Source organism: Homo sapiens, chromosome 15 (assembly GCF_000001405.40).
Source record: "Homo sapiens chromosome 15, GRCh38.p14 Primary Assembly".
Taxonomy (NCBI): Eukaryota; Metazoa; Chordata; class Mammalia; order Primates; family Hominidae; genus Homo; species Homo sapiens.
Window position 1 is genome coordinate 67,742,261 of NC_000015.10, and position 20,780 is coordinate 67,763,040.

A 20,780-nucleotide genomic window follows, 5' to 3' on the forward strand; every position below is an offset into this window, starting at 1 on the left:
GTAGCAAAGACAGAATACCTATATGTTTGGAATATTATAAAGTGAATTTCTACATTAGGCAAAGAATTGTACTAGGTGACTTCCAACATCATGTAGAGGATTTAAGCTAAGAGAGGTGCAAACTAAATGAAAGCTCCGGAAAAACCCTCTCAGACATTTTGAAACATTAAAATGTTGCTGTAGCAGATTTATTTCACCATAAAGAGTAGAGTAGTCTAAAGGACCGTTCTCAGAAAAAGCAACACCTCCTTCCCCCAGCTGCCCCTTTCCCATGTCTCCACACACAATTAATATTCTTAAACTGGATTCTAAAATAAGGCCACCCTTCTTTTGGGACAAAGAAAGGAGAAAAGACTGATATGGCAAATGTCTAAAATCTTCAAAACTTAGGTACTTAATGGACTCTGTGGACAGACCTCATACCATCAGGAAAAAGATTTTATAATTCACATTAATCATTTTAAATTACAATTCTAAGCCCCTGCTTTCCTTGCAAAATTCAAGTCTAAACATTAAAATGTGCAATTACCAACAGGAAGATTTACTTTGGCTCTTATACACCTATGTGGTGTGGGACATGAGCTATGTCAATTTTAAATACACAAAGGATAAAACAGTATGAACTGGCAGCCAGGTCCTTTTTTTTCCTCCTCACTGACTGGCAGACCCAGCAAATGAATAATGTTTTGCTGTACCTCAATGCTCCAGCTGTTGTATTTTGTGTGAAAATGCATTGTCCTTGATACTCAGGAAGCAGTGAGGCCAAGTAAACTAATTTATGGCTGTGATGATTTTCTGTCTGGTCCCATCAGAGCTGTGCCCTCCTGTAGGCATCTTAAAGCCTTTCTGTCCTACCTAGCTGCTTGCTAAATTCAGGGATATGTAGTTTTTGCTTTTCAAAACTGGTCACTCCTGAATACAGCACCCCAGCTGGAGTCTGAGATTTGCGCCAGAGAGAAGGTGCCAGTGAGTAGATCTTAGAATGCGAGAATCGTTGGTTCCTTCTTATAACCTACTGAGTAGCTGCCTGCTAAATCTTCCTGTGACTTTTTTAGGTCCTGTGAAAATATACTAATAGACCCACAGACATGATAAGAACTTGAGCAAGGACAGAGGCTGATGAACAGGGGAGATAGGATTGCACAAGTGAATTATACGTGTTCACCTGAAATTATTGGAAGTAGTATATATTATCCATTTATTTTGTTTCTGAATGCATTTAGTATCTTCACATATCAGTTTGCTAAAAGTCCCATTTGTAGTTAGCCAGAGTAAATTTTGTTCTCTTCCTTTATTTAAAAGTGATTTGTTTGGGAACTCTTTAAGTTAGTGGTACTAGGCAATGTATATAAAGCTTATCATGGAGCAGTGGTTTTGTTTTTCTCATTGAAGGCTTTCTGAGATATGGACACTTTGTTTTTGCAAGTTATAATGGATTGGAGGTTGTATGTCCCTAAGTTTTAATATCCAGCACAGTGCCAGATAAAATTAGATTGATTGCTGGTACCTACCCTTGGGTAGGAAAAATAAACATGGCTCCTGAATGGGAAGCTCTGGCTTCAAGGAATCTTTGGACTTCTCTAGCTCATTCCTTCACTTTGTAGATGACAGCTCTAAGCCCCACTGAAGGGAGGGGGCTTCTGGGGACCATGGGCATCTGACTAGAATCCCAGGGGTCTTTCTTACTCCAAAGTTCATGCGTTTTCCTCACAGTGGACAGTCTCCTAACCCAGCCGTCAGGGTCAGGCCAGGCACTATCTATGACTTTGAGCGCTGCTCCCCTCTGAGCCTCAGCTTCCCTAAAGCAAAGTGAGTAGATTGAACTAGATCATCTCTGGGGTTCCTTCCTTTCATAAATACTTTGGATCATAATTCTTCATTTAGAATATGAATGTCTCAGTTTCCCATAATCCCTGTTTATATTTAGCCAGGGTTATAGCTTAATGCATCTGATTTGAAAAGAGAGTCCTTGCAAAATAGCCACAGCTCCTAAAATTTGAAGTTTTAAAAAAAAGAATAAAGAGCTCAACATTGAAAGCTAGAATGTGATGCCAGTAGCACAACAAATGAAAATGCTATTCTTTAAAAATTCCAACCATATGATTTAATTTTATATTTCTTCTTTCTATTTAAGAGAAAATAATACAAGCTTGAAAAGCAGTAAATATGTAAAGAGAAAATTTGTCAACTGATATTGGAAGATCTGACCTAGGTCACACATAAATCTTCCAGACAAGAGCTGCAGGGCAAGCCATAATTTCAGAGAGTAAAAGAGAAAATGAAAGCTATAGCTGGTGTCTTCTCTAAGTTACATAGGTAGATTCATTTTAGTTTTCTGATTGTGCCTCTGAATATAATGTAAAAGGGGCTGGTAGCAAGATCTGTTTTACCACTTATGTAAAAAGCTCCTCTACAGAGAGCAAAGCATAAAGTGAGACTTCCAAAATTGCTTTTTATCACCAGAGCCATTGGCTAAATAGTTGAGGACCCACAAGCAAACTTCTACATTGGCAATTTCCTTTCTAGCATCATTTTTCACAGTCATAAGTCATGTTATAAGAATTTTCTAATTGCTAATGATGGTCCTTGTAAGGAAATATATGATAAATGTTACTATAATAATACCAAGACCTAACTGGTACTTGTGGCTGCCTTCTATGAAGTCATTCTTCCCCATTTAAACACATAAGAGTCTGCCTTACATCAGAATGAGACGTAACTATCCCCTGTTAGTGTGGTTTTAAATCTTGAATCTAACAGCTAATGAAAGAAAAAAAAAAATCTATGCCCAGAAAAGGGAAGAGGTTCATCTATCAAAATGCAACTAGTTCTAGAGACTGATTAACAAAGTGTGTGACTGGAACAATTACTGTTCTCTCATTGTCCCAAAGTACTAGTTAGACATAGAAAACACTCAACACACGCAAAATGTATAAGCAGGAATGAGGGCTTGGACAAGTTAGTTATAAACAGCATTTCATATGTTGTGAGGTGCAGGCAGTACATCAGCCCTAACAATATTATTGCGTTCCTCTGAACTCTGCTCTCACAGCTAAGCATTTGGAAGGCAGACCCAGAATAAAGATAGGCATTCACAAAGCCAACATTTTATATTGAGGACCCTTGGTTCCACTTTTAATGTGCTATAAACTAGGGGCTTCACTTTTTCATGAACTGTGTGCAAAAGCAGAGGCAATGACTGGAGGTTGACTGTTTGGATCTGTTTTATGGTTGCTGTGCCTATACAGTAATGTGATCTTGAAAAAGGTAAACAACAAAGAGTTTAGCAGTGAAAAATATGCCTAATATAAATACAGCCGAGTACATGGCAGTTCAGAATTTTAAAAATATGACTGTGGCATTAAATTTTCTGGTGGAATTAACAGAGGAACATAATACAGCCTTTATGGCAATATATCTGAGACAGAAAAAGGAGATAATACATCTAACTCTATGGTCTATGTGGCATTCATATAAAGAAAAGCACAGTAGCTTTATTTAATTGAGAAAATGAATCAATTACAATGATGTTGCATCATCAAATTCTTGTGAAATAGAAGATATAAGTCACTGCATTGTGTAACTGTTAAAAAGTAATTGAGTATCTTAAGCATTTTGAATCAATTTCAGGTACTGGCACTGTTACCTTAATACAAAATTTATGAAGATGATTTCATATAATATGTTGCTATCAAAACTGTATAATAAAACCTGATAACGTCTCTCTTTAAAAACCTGGGCAAAACAGTATAGTTATAAGATTATAAAAAAAGACTTTGATATTGCTGTTTTTCTCTTTCTTTTAATGAAGAGCAAGCATAAATAGTACAGTTTTAAGTTGACTTAGACTAAGCTTTTAACCTGCAAAATAGGGCAAACTAGAGACTTTAAGACCTCAGTTCATGAGGAAGTTTCCTCCCCTCAGTTAATCTGATTCACACAACTCATATGTTTCTGGGGACAGTGTTTCATAATCCATTTCTGAATTCATTTCAAAACCTCTCACTTAGAATGTTTGCTGCATGTTCTCCTCAGAGAATGTTGTCATCCCCCTGACTCTTGGAAATTTGTGAAACACATTCTCTTTGATGTCAGAAATGGATTTCTGATTCTTTATTCATTACAAATAACTCCGTTGTTGAAGCAGATATATCTTACTAGGAATGTAGGGGTGGGGGGAGTATCAGTGTGTGCTTGAAAAAAAAATAAAAGCAAACTCCATAGATATCTCATGTCATAGGAGAGGTTATCCAGGCTTTTCAGTATTTTTTTAAAGGTAGTTTGGCTTGTTACTGAAATTCTTAACCACTTCCGGGTGGTGGTTACAGCTCCGCCTTCCCTTGTAATGTAAATCTTTACCTGCAGAATCTTGTCTGGAAATACTCATGGACTGGAGAAACCAGAAGAAGCAGTAATTCAGGACAACATCAAGCAGGGACTATCAACATAGACTAAGCCAGTCAACCTGGGACAGAGGTTTCTGAAAGTAGTGATTGGGGAGGAAGTGATGAAAAGCCAATAAGAGCAATGAGTGGGCGCCGTGTTCATTTGACAAATATATGGGAAAACACTTTTTAAAACACTCAGGCAGTAGGAAGAAGGGTGTGCTGATCAGCCACATGGATGCAAAAGAAATGCATAAACATAGCTGCAGCTCTTGAGAAACTCACAGTCTAGGTGAGAGGAACCAACATGTCAAAATGGATAATTTATCAACAATACCATACCAAGTATAAATGTATACAAATACAGTTGTTTTCAAATAACTCTATGATCATAGGCAAGTGTAATACAGATGCTGGAAGGAAAGGAGCTCTGGAGGAGCCCCAGCACCACCACACCCTGGCGCTGAGGCCTCAGGCCCGGACACTGTCCTCTGATAGGCCCAGCTTTCCCATCATAGAATAAAGATGATCATCCCTGCCAAACTCAGGGTGGTTGTACAGATCAAATGAGTTTGTATATGGGAAAGAATTTTTTAAAACACCTTTAAAAACATATAAGGGATTATTACTAGTTTCCCTGTATTTTACCGGCTGGTTGGAGCCCAGTTATCTCAGAAAACAGTTGACCCATCAGTATTTGGTTCCTGAAAAGTTCTCTGTTAGAAAATGTAGTACCTGGAGTTTCATTTTCATTGAGTTTATAATAACTGTAAGCTTTATTTTTCCTGGATGGGGAGGCACTGAAGTGTTTAGTACTTTAATGACTAAGTGGATGTTTTATTAATTTTTATGTCACGTTTTAGTAGCTTTGTAAGAAATGCAGTTTATCAGTGTTAAATGTGTGAGCAGCCTGCCTTCAGAATGTTGATCAGAAATGCGCTCTTACTGGACTCTGCATTTATTCCCTAAAAATCAGTGTGAAACTTCCATGAATTTGATTTTCCCAGAGAGCATTGCTGCCCTGGAAACAGGCAGAAGGAACTTTGGAAAAGGTGGAGTTGTTACCCCACTCCTAAGTTAGGTGCAAATACTTCAACTACATAATTAAAGTTTTCCTCACAAAATAGGGGATTGTGAGCAGACACTGGCAGGAATCCAAAATTCTAATTTCTGACTATGATTTAATTTCAATTTTAAATAAATCGGTTTTTAATTTAAAAAGAGTGAGCTTCGTAACATTAGCAATGATTGCAACATTAAGCCCAGTGTTCACAATCTAGCAATATAAAACATTATTTATATCTGAATCGTAAACAGCCTTTTGAAATGGATTATGGTTTTTCTCCCTATTCTAATACAACCTGGAGGGTACTAAAAAGTGTTGTGTGAAATTAACATTCTGCTGACTTTCGCCTATAAATGAGAAGCGAGCTATTAACATTTGTGTATTTTCATTATGTAAATTGTGTTAACACATGCCCACAAATTGCCACCAGCAATGCAATAATTTTCTCTCAGTGATCATAATGTGTCCAAGTGAGTCATTTTGATTATGACATGCTAATTACATATTGCCTTTTTTCAGATTCAGAAAAACCAGGGATCTTTAATGGTAAGCTTTATGAGTTCAGAAAAAAATTCACTTTTCTTTTTCCTGATGGCTGCTTCCTTTGCATGCTTGAATGCCTTGTTTTAAACTTAGCAAATTGCATTTTGAAGAAAATGCAAACCTTTAACTGCCTGTATTAGATTAGGTACCATTAGAAATAATAGAACCTCCTGAGCATCAATGTTTTTATAAGAGTTTGCTGTTGTTGATTAATCTTGCTATATTTTATTGCATTAATGATTTTTTCTTTCCACTCCACTGTAAAGATATTGCATAGAGGCTAATACTTTTTCCTCTCTTCTTTTCCATTGCAGCCTCTCCAGCTTCTGCAGTGCATTGTTGATGAGGTGAGGCATCGTCTTATGTGCTTTCACTCCTAAAGTCATTCCTAATGGTGTGGAAAGCTTATATTTTGTTTCCTAATGAAGCACAATGCCCAACATCCTTGGAGCAAGTTGTGTTGTATGGCTCTGAGCTATGTTACGTGAACTGGCCTTGTCCTGAATCCCACTCTTCTGATTCTGGCCAAGAAACCCTGCAAAAACAGACTATCCCGCAGGCTGGTCCTCAGGGGCATCAGATGCCCTAAAGACAAAACACAATAATATTAATTGACCCTCTCCCTGGCCAGATGGGGATGGAACTGGAAATTAAAATGATATCATTTTTTTCTGCAACAGTTATTTAAAGTCATTCAGTAGGCAAGGGTCAGAGTTGAAGAGCAAGCATAAGCTGGATGAAATTTGCCTGCCTTGAGTTATTTACCCAAAGCATATCAGAGTGATAAAAGGGCTCAAAAACTCTAGGTCAACAGTTCAGCGTTAATTTCCTAATTAGGCATTTTTCTCAGAATATGTCCCTAACATCTTGTGTATTCTAGTAGCTGGAAACCTGTATTCTCACATTTTAATTGAGCTTACTTCTGATCATCCTTATCCATTGAATTCCACTGTTCCTTTGCCTTCATGGTGCTAATCTACCTGCCTTTCTCTCTCAATCGACTTTGTCTACTTCTTATTCTGACTTTAAATTCCTTTTCTGTAAACCATCAATCTTATAATACACAAGGCTTTCAAGAAACATTAACATTTTCTTTAAAAACTGAGATTTTTGGGGCTTGGGTTTGCCTACTAGCAATGTTTATTTTTTAAACTTTAATTTTATAATATTTAAAACAGTTGTAATTAGAGAGGGAAGGCAGTAAATGATTCAGATAGGAAAGTTTGAAAGAAAAAAATTGTAATTCATAATTATTCCTCTCAATTAAACATCTGCATAACCAGTTATGAAATTTGGGAGAAAAAATAAAGATCCTCCTAGGAAAAAAATAAACACACACACACATATCACAATAATAGTAAGAGTGGGGCTCTAACATCCTTAATGGTTGCATCAGTCAGTCCATATATCCCCTGCAAGCCATAATCCATGTTGATGTAAAAATGAAGGCATCGTCCTGAAACAAATGGAGGCTCCATTATCTCAAATATCAGACAGACCTCCTGGATCTAATAGCTCATCAATATCCTCTATTATCTTAGATTCCAAAAGCCTACTATCCCCATCAGAATCCTCCCAATTTAACTGGTTTTCCTGAGGTCCCCCTCCAGTTTTGCTTGAGGAAGTGTCTGGGGAAACTTGCCTACCCAGTTTCGTGCACAGCCTTCTGTGTTTCCTGGGCTCTACCGTTGGTCTGCCAGGCTCCTAGGCATCAGAACATCCAGGTAAAGGCATTCCTCACCAATACTATGTGTGTTTCTCATTTGAATGTTTTCTGCATCAAATAGATATTTTCATTCCTTATTTAAAGTAACAGTTATTGCTGTTCAATTTAAAATATCTTACTTGTTTAATTTGGGCAAAATCATGAGACTTTTGAAATTACCATGGGGAGATGTTCTATTTAAGGGATGAAGATTGATGAAGAACAATAATGTGTAACTTAAATGATATATTTTTCTTCATAGCATTTCTTTCTTAGTCAAGAGAAAAATGTAACTTAGACATATATTCCTGTTTACTCTAAAACCATCTTCCTTGTGGAAACTTGGGAAATGAACATTGCCTTTGCTAAAACCAGGTTGATCTTGGAACTGAGCTGATATTCTGCAATAAAAGTATTAGGAAAGGATTGGCCAGATGACCTGCCTTAGACAAGATGAATCATAGCATCTCGGAAAGGAAGGATTGGTGGGGTCCTGTACTTACTGCACTTGTCCTATGTGTCTGTCAGAGTTCTCATTGCTGTGATGCAGTGTTCCTCATAGGGTGGACCAAGGACTGATTGCATCAGAATTACCTAAGGCTCTTGTTGTAATGCAAATTCCTGAGCCCAGATCGCTGAATTAGACTTTCTAGGGATCGTGCCTAGAATCTACTAGTTTCTCGGGTAACTCTCTGCACATTATAAGTTTGAAAACCACTTCTCAAACTTCCCTAACTGCTTGCCAGGGCTAAGTCTTCCCCTTTAGTTCCCACAGGGCAATTAGCTAGCTATCTTCATTTGCATCTGACTTTTAGACCTTTTATTTGTGAATGAATATGCCCAGTTGGGATTTGAGCCGTTTTACTGCTTGGGAGTGGGATTTACCCCGTTGTGAAGTGGGTATCTGTTGCTAGTATATACTATTTCCTGTTAGAGAAAAGTCAGATCAAAAATTACTTCCCCTGAGGGAAGTTCAGACAAGATGGGTATATTTGGCGTCACATACAAAATAGCTATCGCAAAGCCCAGTGTAACATATTTTCTTATTATGTGGATTCAGCTTAACCTGTTATGGCCTGGCAAAGAGTGAAGATGTAGTAAAACACCACTAAGGTGGGCAAGAGCCAGTCCTGGAATGGCCAAAGATGAATGTTAGAGCCACTCTGGGAGTCAGGAGGTGGAATCATGGAACAAAGCCAGAGTTAGCTACCAGATGTCCAAACAGAAGACACCAAAAACTAAATAGGAATAAGAACCATGACCATGAAACTCAGACCACAGATCAGGACCTGGGAGGGTGGCCAAAGTAACAGGAGAATTGAGCTCCAATCAGAAATCTTGGTGGTCCAAGTAAATTTTGGTGGGTGGCATTTCTCTGAATTGTCGCTGGCTAGCTCAGGTATAAGTGACAGCTTGAAGACATCATCTGGTGCCTCAGAGTTGCTTCTCAACAGAACTTCTTACCTTAAGGTCCTTATGTAATCAGGTCCTCCCTAAGTCCCTGAATACCTGCGTTGTAAAGTGCTTTGGTTCTTTATAAGTGATGTGTGTCTATGTGTACCTGAAGCCTTAGCCATCTGATATCTTTGGGGAATAAGTCGGCCCCTATTGTCTAGATAACTGAAATTTATGACTGTAAGCTCTGACAGCTATGAGAAATTTGCATTTTTAGAAAGAAATGTTTCTAACATCTATTTGTTCTTGGCAGCCTGTTGACGGAGTGTGGTGAATATCATTTAACCTTTTCTCAATGACTTAGTCCCTTGTTCTGAACATGGTACTGAACGTAAACTTTGATGTATTGATGCCCTCCAGGGCTGTAAAATTGTGTGGGGTTTACCTTATTCTTTCACTGAATTTTACCAACCATTTTGCCAGAGTGTTTGGCGCTGACATTGATATTCTCGGGCCTCTTGAAGTGTATAGAGCCCTTTGCCCCCAGGCTAACATGCCTTACATGGCTGTACTGCTCTGCATAGTGCTTTTCCTGTGCCCTCTTGTGATTGCCTCTGTTCTCTATGGGCACTCCTCATTCTTGTTGGTGGCTACCTTTTGTCCCAACAACCTGACCGTCTGTCTTCGGTGTTTTTTGTTTGTTTGTTTGTTTGTTTTGTTTTGTTTTTGAGATGGAGTTTTGCTCTTGTTGCCCAGGCTGGAGTGGAGTGGCACAACCTCCGCTCACGGCAACCTCTGCCTTCTGGGTTCAAGCGATTCTCCTGTCCCAGCCTCCCGAGTAGCTGGGACTACAGGCACACGCCACCACACCTGGCCAATTTTTTGTATTATTAGTAGAGACAGGGTTTCACCATGTTGGCCAGGCTGTTCTCGAACTCCTGACCTCAAGTGATCCGCCTACCTTGGCCTCCCAAAGTGCTGATTTCATATGGTACTTTTTAGTTTTGCTAAGGTCACTATCAGGAGTACAAAGACTGAAGACAGGCTGGGCACGGTGGCTCACGCCTGTAATTCCAGCACTTTGGGAGGCCAAAGCGGGTGGATCACAAGGTCAGGGGTTCGAGGCCAGCCTAACCAACATGGTGAAACCCCATCTCTACTAAAAATACAAAAATGAGCCGAGCCGGCTGGCAGGCACCTGTAATCCCCACTATTCGGGAGGCTGAGGCAGGAGAATCACTTGAACCCAGGAGGTGGAGGTTGCAGTGAGCCAAGATAAGAGCACTGCACTCCAGCCTGGGTGACAGAGCAAGACACCCTCTCAAAAAAAAAAAAAGAAAAAGAAAGAAAGAAATGGAAAGACATTTTGTGTTCATGAAGTGGGAGGCTTAATATTGTTACGATGGAAATACTCTCAAAATTGATCTACAGATTCAATGTAATCATGTTAAAATCCCAGTAGGCTTTTTTGCAGAAATGGATAAACTAATCCTAAAATTCCCATGGAAATACAAGGGACTCAGAATAGCCAAAACAATCATTGAAAAAAAAAAAAAGAAAACAATGTTGCAAGATTTATACTTTCTGATTTCAAAACTTACTACAAAATTACACTGATCAAGATAGTATGGTAGTGGTATAGGATAGACATACGGAATAGAATTCAAAGTCCAGAAATAAACTTATATATGCATAGTCAGTTGTTTTCTGATGAGGATGCCAAGACCATTCTGTGGCGAAAGAATAGTCTTTTCAACAAATGGTGCTGGGACCACTGGATATCCATATGTATGTGAATAAATTTGGACCCCTACCTTTCATCATACACAAAAATTAACTCAAAAAATGGATCAAAGACTTAAATGTAAGAGTAAAAACTACAAAATTCTCAAAAGGAAACATAGATGTAAATCTCCATGACCTTAGGTTAGCAATGGTTTCTTAGCTATGACACCAAGAGCACAAGCAAACAAAAACAAAAGAAGGGCTTTATCAAAATCAAAAACTTTTGTGTGTCAAAGGACACTATCAAGACAGTGAAAAGACAACCCACAGAATGGGAGAAAATATTTGCAAATCATATATCTGATAAAGTCCTGGTATTCAGAATATATAAAGAGCTCTTACAACTCAATGATAAATAAAAAGACAAATAGCCAATTTAAAAATGGGGAGAGGATTTAAATAGACATTTCTCTGAAGAAGATAAACAAATGGTCAATAAGCACATGAAAATATGCTCAACAATTAATTAAGGAAATGCAAATCAAAACCACAATGAGAGACTACTTCATGCCCACTAGGATGGCTGTAATTAAAAAAAAAAGAAAAGAAAAACAGAAAATAACAATTGGTGACAAGAATGTGGGGAAATTGGAACCCACATAAATTGCTAGTGGGAATGTAAAATGGTTCCACAGTTGCTGTGGAATACAGCTTGGCCATTCATCAAAAAGCTAAAATAGAACAATTAAATGACCCAGCAGTTCCACCTCTAGGTATATATCCAAGAGAATAGAAAACATATGTCCGCATAAAAACTTATACATGAACATTCATAGCGGCATTATTCATAATAGCCCAAACGTAGAAAGAATCCAGAAGTTCACATTGGACTATAAATAGGAATGAAGTACTGATAAATGCTGCAGTACGGATGTACCTTGAAAACATGCTAAATGAAAGAAACCAGACACAAAAAGCCACATATTCTATGAAATGTCCACAATAGGGAAGTCTATAGAGACAGGAAGTCAATGACTTAGTGATTGCCAGGGACTGGAGGGGAGAAGGGAATTGAGAATGACTGTCACAGGTACAAGGTTTCTTTTTAGGGTGGTAGAAATATTTTGGAACTGGTTTGTTACTTTAAAAGGGTGAATTTTATTTTTTGTGAATTTTATCTAAATTTTAAATGTCAAAGAGAAAAATAGAAAGCAAAGAGTTTCTCTGTGATGGCCTGTGTTTAGTTGCTTGGCTGGATAGGATGGGCTTCAGCAGAAGAAAAGAGAAGACACACTTAAACCACATTCCATTTCGTAGAAGACTACCACAGCTAGAAAAATTTGTATTTTTATTTACTTCAAGGGACATTTATTGAGCTCCTCCTTGGGCTGTGATCTCTGCCAGGTGCCGAGATAAATCCCTGTGCTGGATGACTTCATGATCTAGTGGAAGACAAACTCATGAATTAGATTTGATTCATTATGTTAAAAACTATAATAAAGCTATGTAAACAGTGCTGTGCAAGGTTGGATGATGTGGGAAGCTAACAAACCATCAGAGAGGAGATGATATTTGAGCTGGGCTTTGGAAATACCTTGATATTCACAAAATGAAAGTGGGGAGAAGATTGTCCCAGCAGAGGGAGGGACACCACCATAGGTATCTAAGTGTGAGGCAGCTTTGAAGACTAATGGTTGGCCCAAAGTGAAGCTAGAAAAAAATACAGGGAGCATCTCAAATGCATGCCAAAAAGCGTAGGTGTTACCCTGTAGCCAAGGGATATGCTTGGAAGGTTTGACATGTTGAAATCTGTATTTTTTTCTAAGACAGTTCTGTTGAGGTGGGTAGTAGGAGAAATGAGACTGAGGGAGAAGCTTAGAAGCTAGCTATTAAGTATTGATTGATTGATTGAGATGGAGTCTTGCTCTGTTTGCCCAGGCTAGAGTGTGCAGTGGCACAATCTTGGCTCACTGCAACCTCCGCCTCCTGGGTTCATGCAATCCTCCCACCTCAGCCTCCCAAGTAACTAGGATTACAGGTGTGCACCACCACGCCCAGCTAATTTTTTTGTGTGTTTTTAGTAGAGATGGGGTTTCACCATGTTGGCCAGGCTGGTCTCAAACTCCTGACCTCAAGTGATCGCCCGCCTCAGCCTCCCAAAGTGCTAAGATTACAGGTGTGAGCCACCACTCCTGGCTTTTAGAAGCTTTTTAGTAACATTGTTATAAAGTAGGCTCTTCCCTTATTTTTCTCCTCCCTTTCCCAGTCCTCCATTTTCTCATCCCCCTTTGTTCAGTGTCACCCTCTTCTAGAACAGAAATATTAGCTGCCCCTTAGTCTGCCTGACTCACATAGGTAGAAGTGTCTAGCTATGTGGTTAACCTCCATCCTCTTCACTGAGCATCCGGCCTGGGCTGGCATCAAACAGTGCCTCCTTCCACCACTGGTCATCTTCACTAGCATTTCTAGAAAGCATCAGGGGAGCCATGTCCAAGTGAAGAGTCCATGTGAGGCCTCTTGTGAGTCCAGATGTTTGGTGGGGTAGATGATTGTCCCTATTCATAATGATTCTTTTTAGTACCACCATAATGATGTGCATATGCCAGCCAGACAGATAAGTAAACAGTAGAGGCTGTCTTATGTCTTCATTAAGTTTTATGGTTAAATAGAGTCATAAGAACTTGCAGAAGACATAGACTTTTATAAGTGGGATTTTGTAATGATGAGCTGTTGAATTCAGGGCTTTTTGCCAAGAAAGTCTGTTTCCATCTTAAGCAAATCCACTTTAGTCCTTCTTATCATCAGGGACCCCAGGCCAGGCCCCACAGCAAGGATGCCCCTTCCTTGTCTTCTTGCTCATGACTCAATTGTCCACCCTCTTTCCATTGTCCTCCCCACATCCTCACTGTGGCATTCCCGTTGATCCCCATTTTTCAGCTACAAACCTAATGGAGAAAGCCAGCATCTCTCCCCCACACTAGGGCACAAAGGCCCTTTTCCTAGAGCTGTGGCTTGCCACAGTCCTATCTCTCTATTGGCCCAGAACCCTGGCATTGTTACAGTGCTCCTACAAGGGACACTGTGTTTTAAGTATCATATGCATTCCAAATGAACTCTAGGATAAACCACCTGTTCCTGATTGAAGGAGACTGCCCCTATATGGCAACATTTTCTCTCTCTCACCATCTTCTTATGCTGCTTTCTTTGATCAAGAACAGGAAGAAAGAAATAAGAGACAAAGTAAAGATACACATAAGTTTTGAATACAGTTGTGCCTTGTAGAATGTGAAAGTTATATTTTTCCCCAGCTTTACTGAGGTACAATTAACAAATAGAAAGTATATATAAGGTGTACAATGTGATGTTTTGATAAACATATACATTGTGAAAGGATTACCACAATCAAGCTAATATATCTAACCCCACACACAGTTACTGTGTGTGTGTGTGTGTGTGTGTGTGTGTGTGTGTGTGTGTGTGTGTTGATAACACTTACGATCTACTCCCTTGGCAAATTTTAAATACATAATACAGGATTATTAATTATACTCACCATGCTATATTTATCTTATAAAAGTAAGTTTGTCCCCTTTGACGAACACCTCCTCATTTCCCCCACCCTCCAAGCCCCTGGTAACTACTCTTCTACTTTGCTACTATGAGTTCAGCTATTTTAGATTCTACATATTAAGTGAGATCATGCAGTTTTTGTGTTTCTGTGTCTGACTTACTTCACTTAGCATATTCATCTGTCTGAACCTTCAGGTTCATATGCTGTTGCAAATGACAGGATTTCCTTTTTTAAGGCTGAATAAGATTCCATTTTGGTGTGTGTATCGATACCACATTTTCTTTATTCATCTATTGACTGATCCTTGGGTTGTCTTCCTATCTTGGCTATTGTGAATAATGCTGCAGTGAACATGGCAGTGCAGATATCTCTTCAGGATAGTGATTTATTTCCTTTAGATATACACCGAGAAGTTGGATTACTGAATCATAGCGTAGTTCTTTTTTTAGTTTTTTGAGGAACCTCCTCCATGCTGTTTTCCATAATGGCTATACCAATTTACATTCCCATGAACAGTGTATAAGGGTTCCCTTTTCTCCACATCCTCACCATCCCTAGTTACCTTTTGACTTTTTTGTAATAGCCATCCTAACAAAATGTGAGGTGACATTTCATTGTGGTTTTTATTTGCATAAAAATAGTATTTCTAGAAGACATTTGCAAATCAGATTATGTCTTCCCATTGATTCAATAGTTGATGTTCACACATTTCTAAAAGCCCTTGACCCCTTTATGTTGCTCAAAAACCCAACCTATAAAATAGATGAACATGAAGCTATTTTGGTTTGGTCAGAGTATGGGAGATTCAGATCTCCACCCCCTTTCCCACACACCTGCATAAAAGAACTGAGAGTTCCATAGATTATAGTTTGAAAACTACTGATGATAGCCCAAACAGTCATTCTGTAAACCTGTGTTAATCCCAGAGCTCGGTACCGGGGATAGAGAATGAATAAGATGCTCTTTCCACCATTAAAGAGCAGCTACCCTAGTCAGGGAGGCAGACAAGTAAACAGTCATATATGCAGATCACTAAACTGCAGGTAATGTAAGTGATACGAGACTTGATGGCCTGGGCTCTCGGAGGACCACAGTGACTATCATTTTAACCACTCACATAAATGGGTATTTACGATATGGTATTTAATGATGTTTGTAGCCATATAAATTCTATAATTAAAGTGTGGCCAAGGTGCTGGGGAAACACAGAGGAGAGAACTCAGTGGAGGAGATGGGGGCTACCAGGGAAGCTCTGCAGAGGAGAGGAGACTGAAGGATAGCCAATAAGAGTTAGCCTTGGAGAGATCTGAGGCCCCTGCAGGGAGTTCAGTATGGCTGGGGTGTTTGGGCAAGTATTATGAGATATAAACCAAGGGCCACATTTTGAAGGATCTTTATACCCCATGCTTAGAGGTATTTGTAGGGGAGGGAGGATGGGGAGACTGAAAGAGTTTTAAGCAAGAGGTCAACGTAGCCAGATTTGTGTTTTACACTGTGGCAGTGCTGTGGAAGATGGATTAGAAAGGACATTGAAGCTGTAGTTCTGATCAGAAATTGGAGGGGTTTAATCAGGACAGCCTTAGCATGTTTGAAGGGTATTTAGGAGATGGAGCTAACTGCATTTGGTAAATAACTAGATATAAGGGAGGGTAGGGAGGTAGGGTCAGGGATGAATCTCAGGGCTTGGGCAGTCAGGTGCATGGTGGTACTCTCCTGAGATGGGGCACACGGAAAGAGAGGCATTTTCAAGGGATGAGATGATTAGCATTCTGTTCTTGGGAGATCACCAAGCACCTCATTCAAAACTATATTCATTCCTGCTCCAGATTCAATTATGAGTTTAACAACTAGACTCTAAGTTCCTAGACATTTTATTTCTGTCTTCCTAGTACTGCACCTAACATCCTATAGGCTCTTGTAAATATTCATCAAATGACATTTATGCATAAATCTCAACACTTTTTTTTTCAAGACCTCAGAAATACAAATCCAAAAAGTGACAGAGAATATATGATGAGGAGATACTTAGCTAATAGATATGGTTCTCTACCAGAATTCAGAAGTCTAAGCCTTAACCTTTGTGGTTTACACAGTGTTTCCTGTCACATTCTTTCCCCACAACACTCTATTTTACAGACAAGGAAACTGAGTGACAATCAAAGGGTAAGGTTCCTTACATTATACTATCACTGATTTGAAGAAAGTACAAAGTGACCACTGAACATTTTGGCATCAAAGGAAGAGGTTTTTTATACAGCTGTGAAAGAAGACAACTTAGCATTGCAGACATGCTCAAAGGGCATACGTGTTTTGCAACTCAGTTCAGTTTTGCTGTCTATATGAATGACCGCACATCTTTCAGTTAATTGAATTCTATTCTGTGTACTCTGTTTAATTTGGCATGGAGGAGCGCGAATCCTTTTAGAAAGATTTCTATTGAAATACAATAAGTTTGGCTCTTAAATGTGTTATCTTAAAAAATTCATTCATGTAGAATCACTCACTCCTAGGCAGGGTGCCTGAGAAGCCACTGGGGTATGAAAATAGCCGGTGCTGGGGGGTGGGGGATGCTGATGGCAAGAATGATTGCCTAATAATACCTCCCAGAAATTCAAAAGCGGGGTTAGGCCAGGCACGGTGGCTCATGCCTGTAATCCTAGCATTTTGGGAGACCAAGGAAGGCAGATCACTTGAGCTCAGGAGTTCGAGACCAGACCTGGCAACATGGTGAGACCCGATCTCTACAAAAAAAAACAAAAATTAGCCAAGCATGGTGGCACGTGCCTGTAGTCCCAGCTACTCAGGAGGCTGAGGTGGGAGGATCTCTTGAACCTGGGAGGTGGAGGTTCCGGTGAGCCAAGATCACGCTACTGCACTCTAGCCTGGATGACAGAGCGAGACTGTGTCTCAAAAAAAAAAAAGAAAAGAAAAGAAAAAATGGGATTAACCAACTTCAGAGGAAATAATATCCACTCATCTTTTACCTTAGAGACTTTACCATGACTCTGGCTTCTGAAGTTAGCAAGAAGTAAAAGGAACACCATCCCACTCCTATTCCCAGCATCCCAAGGATGGCCTGTTCCTGTCACAGCACATAACTGCGGGTGGTTAAAGGGAGACAGGACCTGCAGACCCACAGTGTCTGACTATAGTGATTAACTCCAACCACTCCCACAAACAGGTTTTTGTGATGTGGGATTTCATGGTGCATGCAGCTTGTATTAGTTAATGACTGAGGCATTAGAAACTCAGTAAGTTAATACAAGCATATGCACACAATGGTCCTGTCCTTTCGGCGATATTGTCAACTAGACCTGTGTTTCAAAGTGTTGGGAATATATAGTTGAGATCCTGAAAACTGATATTCCTCTTTTATGTAAGGCAATCTTTAGAAATCTAATACCTTCTTTGAAAAGTCCAGTGTGTTTAAATTAATTCAGTTTGGCTGGTTTGAAAATTGAAAATAGGTTAGCATTAAGGCCAGGATTCCTTTAGTAATTACTTTTTCTATTGGTAATAACTGTTTCTTTAGAAATGACATTAACATTCTACCAAAACACAGCAGTAATCCAAAAGTTAATGTTCTGTTCACTTATAATTATATTTAATTCATATTTATGAGTTGTCAGAAGGGAGGAGTAAGAAAGAAGTGAATACAAAATGTTACAGAAGAAACAAGTTATAAGAAAATTTTTTCCTCATAGTCTGAAGGATGTACAAAGTCACTTGAAGTAAAAAAAAGTTTTTTTAAACACACAATTATATAAAATTAGATTTTATTAACTATTGCTGAAAAAAATCTATATTTTTATTATTTCCAAGTGGCACTGAGTGAATTCAGCCAATAGACCTTATCCATTTCTTCTTTTTTACTAACCAAAATATTAACATAAACATCCCCATAATTTTGATTTAGTAAGTCAATTAGATTTGTGGGGATTTTTTAACCAGGAAAAATTCTGCATCTTTAGGCAGTCATTGAACAAGTAGCTTTGTGTTATTTCCTTTGAATTGTCCATGAAGCCTGATGTATTATTAATGAATTAATTTCTTGGTGGTGGAGGCCTGTGAATAGCGGTCTGTGAATGGGCAGTTGCCTGGTGGGGCCAGTTTTGGCTGCTGTCATTTAACATGTGTTGCTGTATTGTGAAGTCTTACCCAGCCATAGGACAATGCTCATTTAATCCACCATGATGGGACCTACACACCCTGAGCCCAAGTTGGATGCCAGGGTCAGTTACCCAGCAGCTTGGGCTGGGGGCACTGCTCTGCTTCACTGCCGAGTTGCTGTAATCGTTTTGCCGGCTGTTAATTTTCTCTAAACCAGGGAAAATGTGTATGTGAGCAGTACAAATGTTCTCAAAAGAGATTCCAAACTGGTCGGCTGGGGTGTTGCCTCCATTCCAGAATGGAGGCAGCATTCCAGGGAGTGTAAGTTCCTTCCTTCCTCCTGGAAATGGAAGCGTCTGGGCCCACGAGATCCCTGATGTTTTGAGGTCCAGAGTAGCAGATGGCATTATGATTTTCCAAATCCTGATGAACATTCTAACTGAACTTGTTCATTTCACAGTATGTGGTTCTATTTTTTCATTTCCTCTTCTTCCCTCCCTCCCTCTTTCCCTTTGTTCCCCTCATAGTAACTAGTTTTAAACTGGTGTAGTGTCTCCTTAAACCAGCTTTAAATTCCCTTCTGTCTGTCTATTTTATGAAACCAACTATAGCACAGTTTCACGTATAATTCTCAGCCTTTGAATTGCAGCTGAAGCAGCCTTTGAATTTGTTTAAAAATGTGTAAGCAAATAAAGCCAACACTCATACACGCAGCCACTGGTAGTTCTGTTTCCCCCCTTATCTGTAGCTGGCAGTGCAGGTGGCAAATGGCAGTAATTATTTTAACTAACAGTCGAGTGAACATTCAGGAGGACATACAGTGTGGTGATGTGGACTTTGGATTTACAGTGAGTTCTCAGAGTCTGACTTGATAGTGTTATGGCTTGTTGGTTTTTCAGGACACGGACCTGCCAGGTTCCTGTACTTCAACAGTGTGTGGATGTGGTTCAGATGTTTCAATCTTAACTCTTTATCTATGAAAAGATCAATTTTTTTTCATTTAGGCACCTATTAAGGGTTTTTTTCTCTCCTAGATTTTTCTGTTTTGTTTTTAATATAATTTATGATCTACCTTTAAGAGTGCTTTTAATCAGCACTTCTGTAGAACCAGCTGAAATGCCAGTGTGTATATTAACATTATAATTTAGGTACTGGATCAAACATGTATAGCTGGACTTTTCCTGAGGAAAAAAGTTGACCTGACCAGTGTATGAAATTCAAACACTGTATAGGAACAAGGTAAAAGCACAGGTAGGAATTGCTGAATAATTACCTTTAGACCAGCCTGAGCAGGAGACTTCCCACGAGGGTGAGCTCATTTAATGGTTCCTAAAACTCAATCTTGTGGATGTCAGTGGTCATGCTTGATTATTTGCAGCAGTGTTTTATGAAAAGCAGTAGAAATGCATTGGGAGGCTGCAGAGAAAGAGGACAATAACGGGTTTTACTTTTGTAAATGAAATCCCTTCGGTATGAGACAAGTATGTTTTTTGCTGCTCTGCCTAAGCCACTGAAAAGGGAGATGTATGTGGATGTTAGTGTGTGAGTATGTGTGTACTGTTCATGTAGGCACATCTAAAAACTGCTGTGCACTATGGCTGATGACCAACAAGAGACCTAAAATAAAAAGAGAAAAAAGATGCTCATTGGCTTTGGAAAGGAAGCAATTATAAATACAGTTTAAAAGATTAACCTATTTTCCATTTCTCCACTCACCTATTTTCAAGAAATGTAATAAAACACCAAGCTCTTTACCATATGTTTACAACATTTCTAAGTAAATATAAGTCTTTTAAATGACAGACAAAAAAAAAAAAAAAAACAAGCAGACTAAATGAAGAATCCATTTTGACATTAATGACAAAGATCATTTCTATTCTCTTTTATCCCAATACTGAAGAACTTCCAAAACACTTTTAGGAGAAAAAGAAAATAGGAAAAAAAATCTCTATAATCTCAAACTTCAGTTACCCAGAGACAGATTCCTTTAGACCTGTTTGTTTATATTTTGTTTTTTATAAGCCATCTGGTAGTGATGTTCACTTGGCTAACAGCTGGTTCTCCTTGATTAAAGGGTTTATGGGTAGGATGGGCCTTTCAGTGGCAAAAATTCAGGCCTTTACCCCGTGGTTCCAGGCCCATCTGAGACAAGTTAAATGAGCTGCTACTGTCAGCCCAGACCCAGTGGACAGAACGTCACACCAAAATGCCCACACATGTAATTTGTCACGCCTGGCAGCCCAGAGCATGGGGTGAGCCAGTGTGGAAATTGAATCATCT

At 39.1% G+C, this 20,780-nt stretch overlaps 1 protein-coding gene across 3 annotated transcripts in view, besides 2 other annotated features; it reads left to right on the forward strand.

The window, feature by feature from the left end:
* The window catches only part of MAP2K5 (mitogen-activated protein kinase kinase 5), a 264,412-nt gene that overhangs the window by 199,558 nt on the left and 44,074 nt on the right, over nt 1-20,780 (forward strand). For all 3 annotated transcript variants that reach the window (NM_145160.3, NM_002757.4, NM_001206804.2), the window contains 2 exons: nt 5,971-5,997; nt 6,309-6,341. In NM_145160.3, the coding sequence (NP_660143.1) occupies nt 5,971-5,997; nt 6,309-6,341 (60 nt within the window). The remainder of the gene's footprint in view (nt 1-5,970; nt 5,998-6,308; nt 6,342-20,780) is intronic.
* Nucleotides 8,421-8,922: an enhancer, noted in NCBI's record as "H3K27ac hESC enhancer chr15:68043019-68043520 (GRCh37/hg19 assembly coordinates)". NCBI's record gives its function as "activates a minimal SCP1, AML or CMV promoter by ChIP-STARR-seq in primed H9 embryonic stem cells {active_cell/tissue: H9 hESC(primed)}" and the evidence as "EXISTENCE:reporter gene assay evidence [ECO:0000049][PMID:30033119]".
* Nucleotides 20,597-20,676: a silencer, noted in NCBI's record as "silent region_6581". NCBI's record gives its function as "represses an Ori minimal core promoter by ATAC-STARR-seq in GM12878 lymphoblastoid cells {active_cell/tissue: GM12878}" and the evidence as "EXISTENCE:reporter gene assay evidence [ECO:0000049][PMID:35858748]".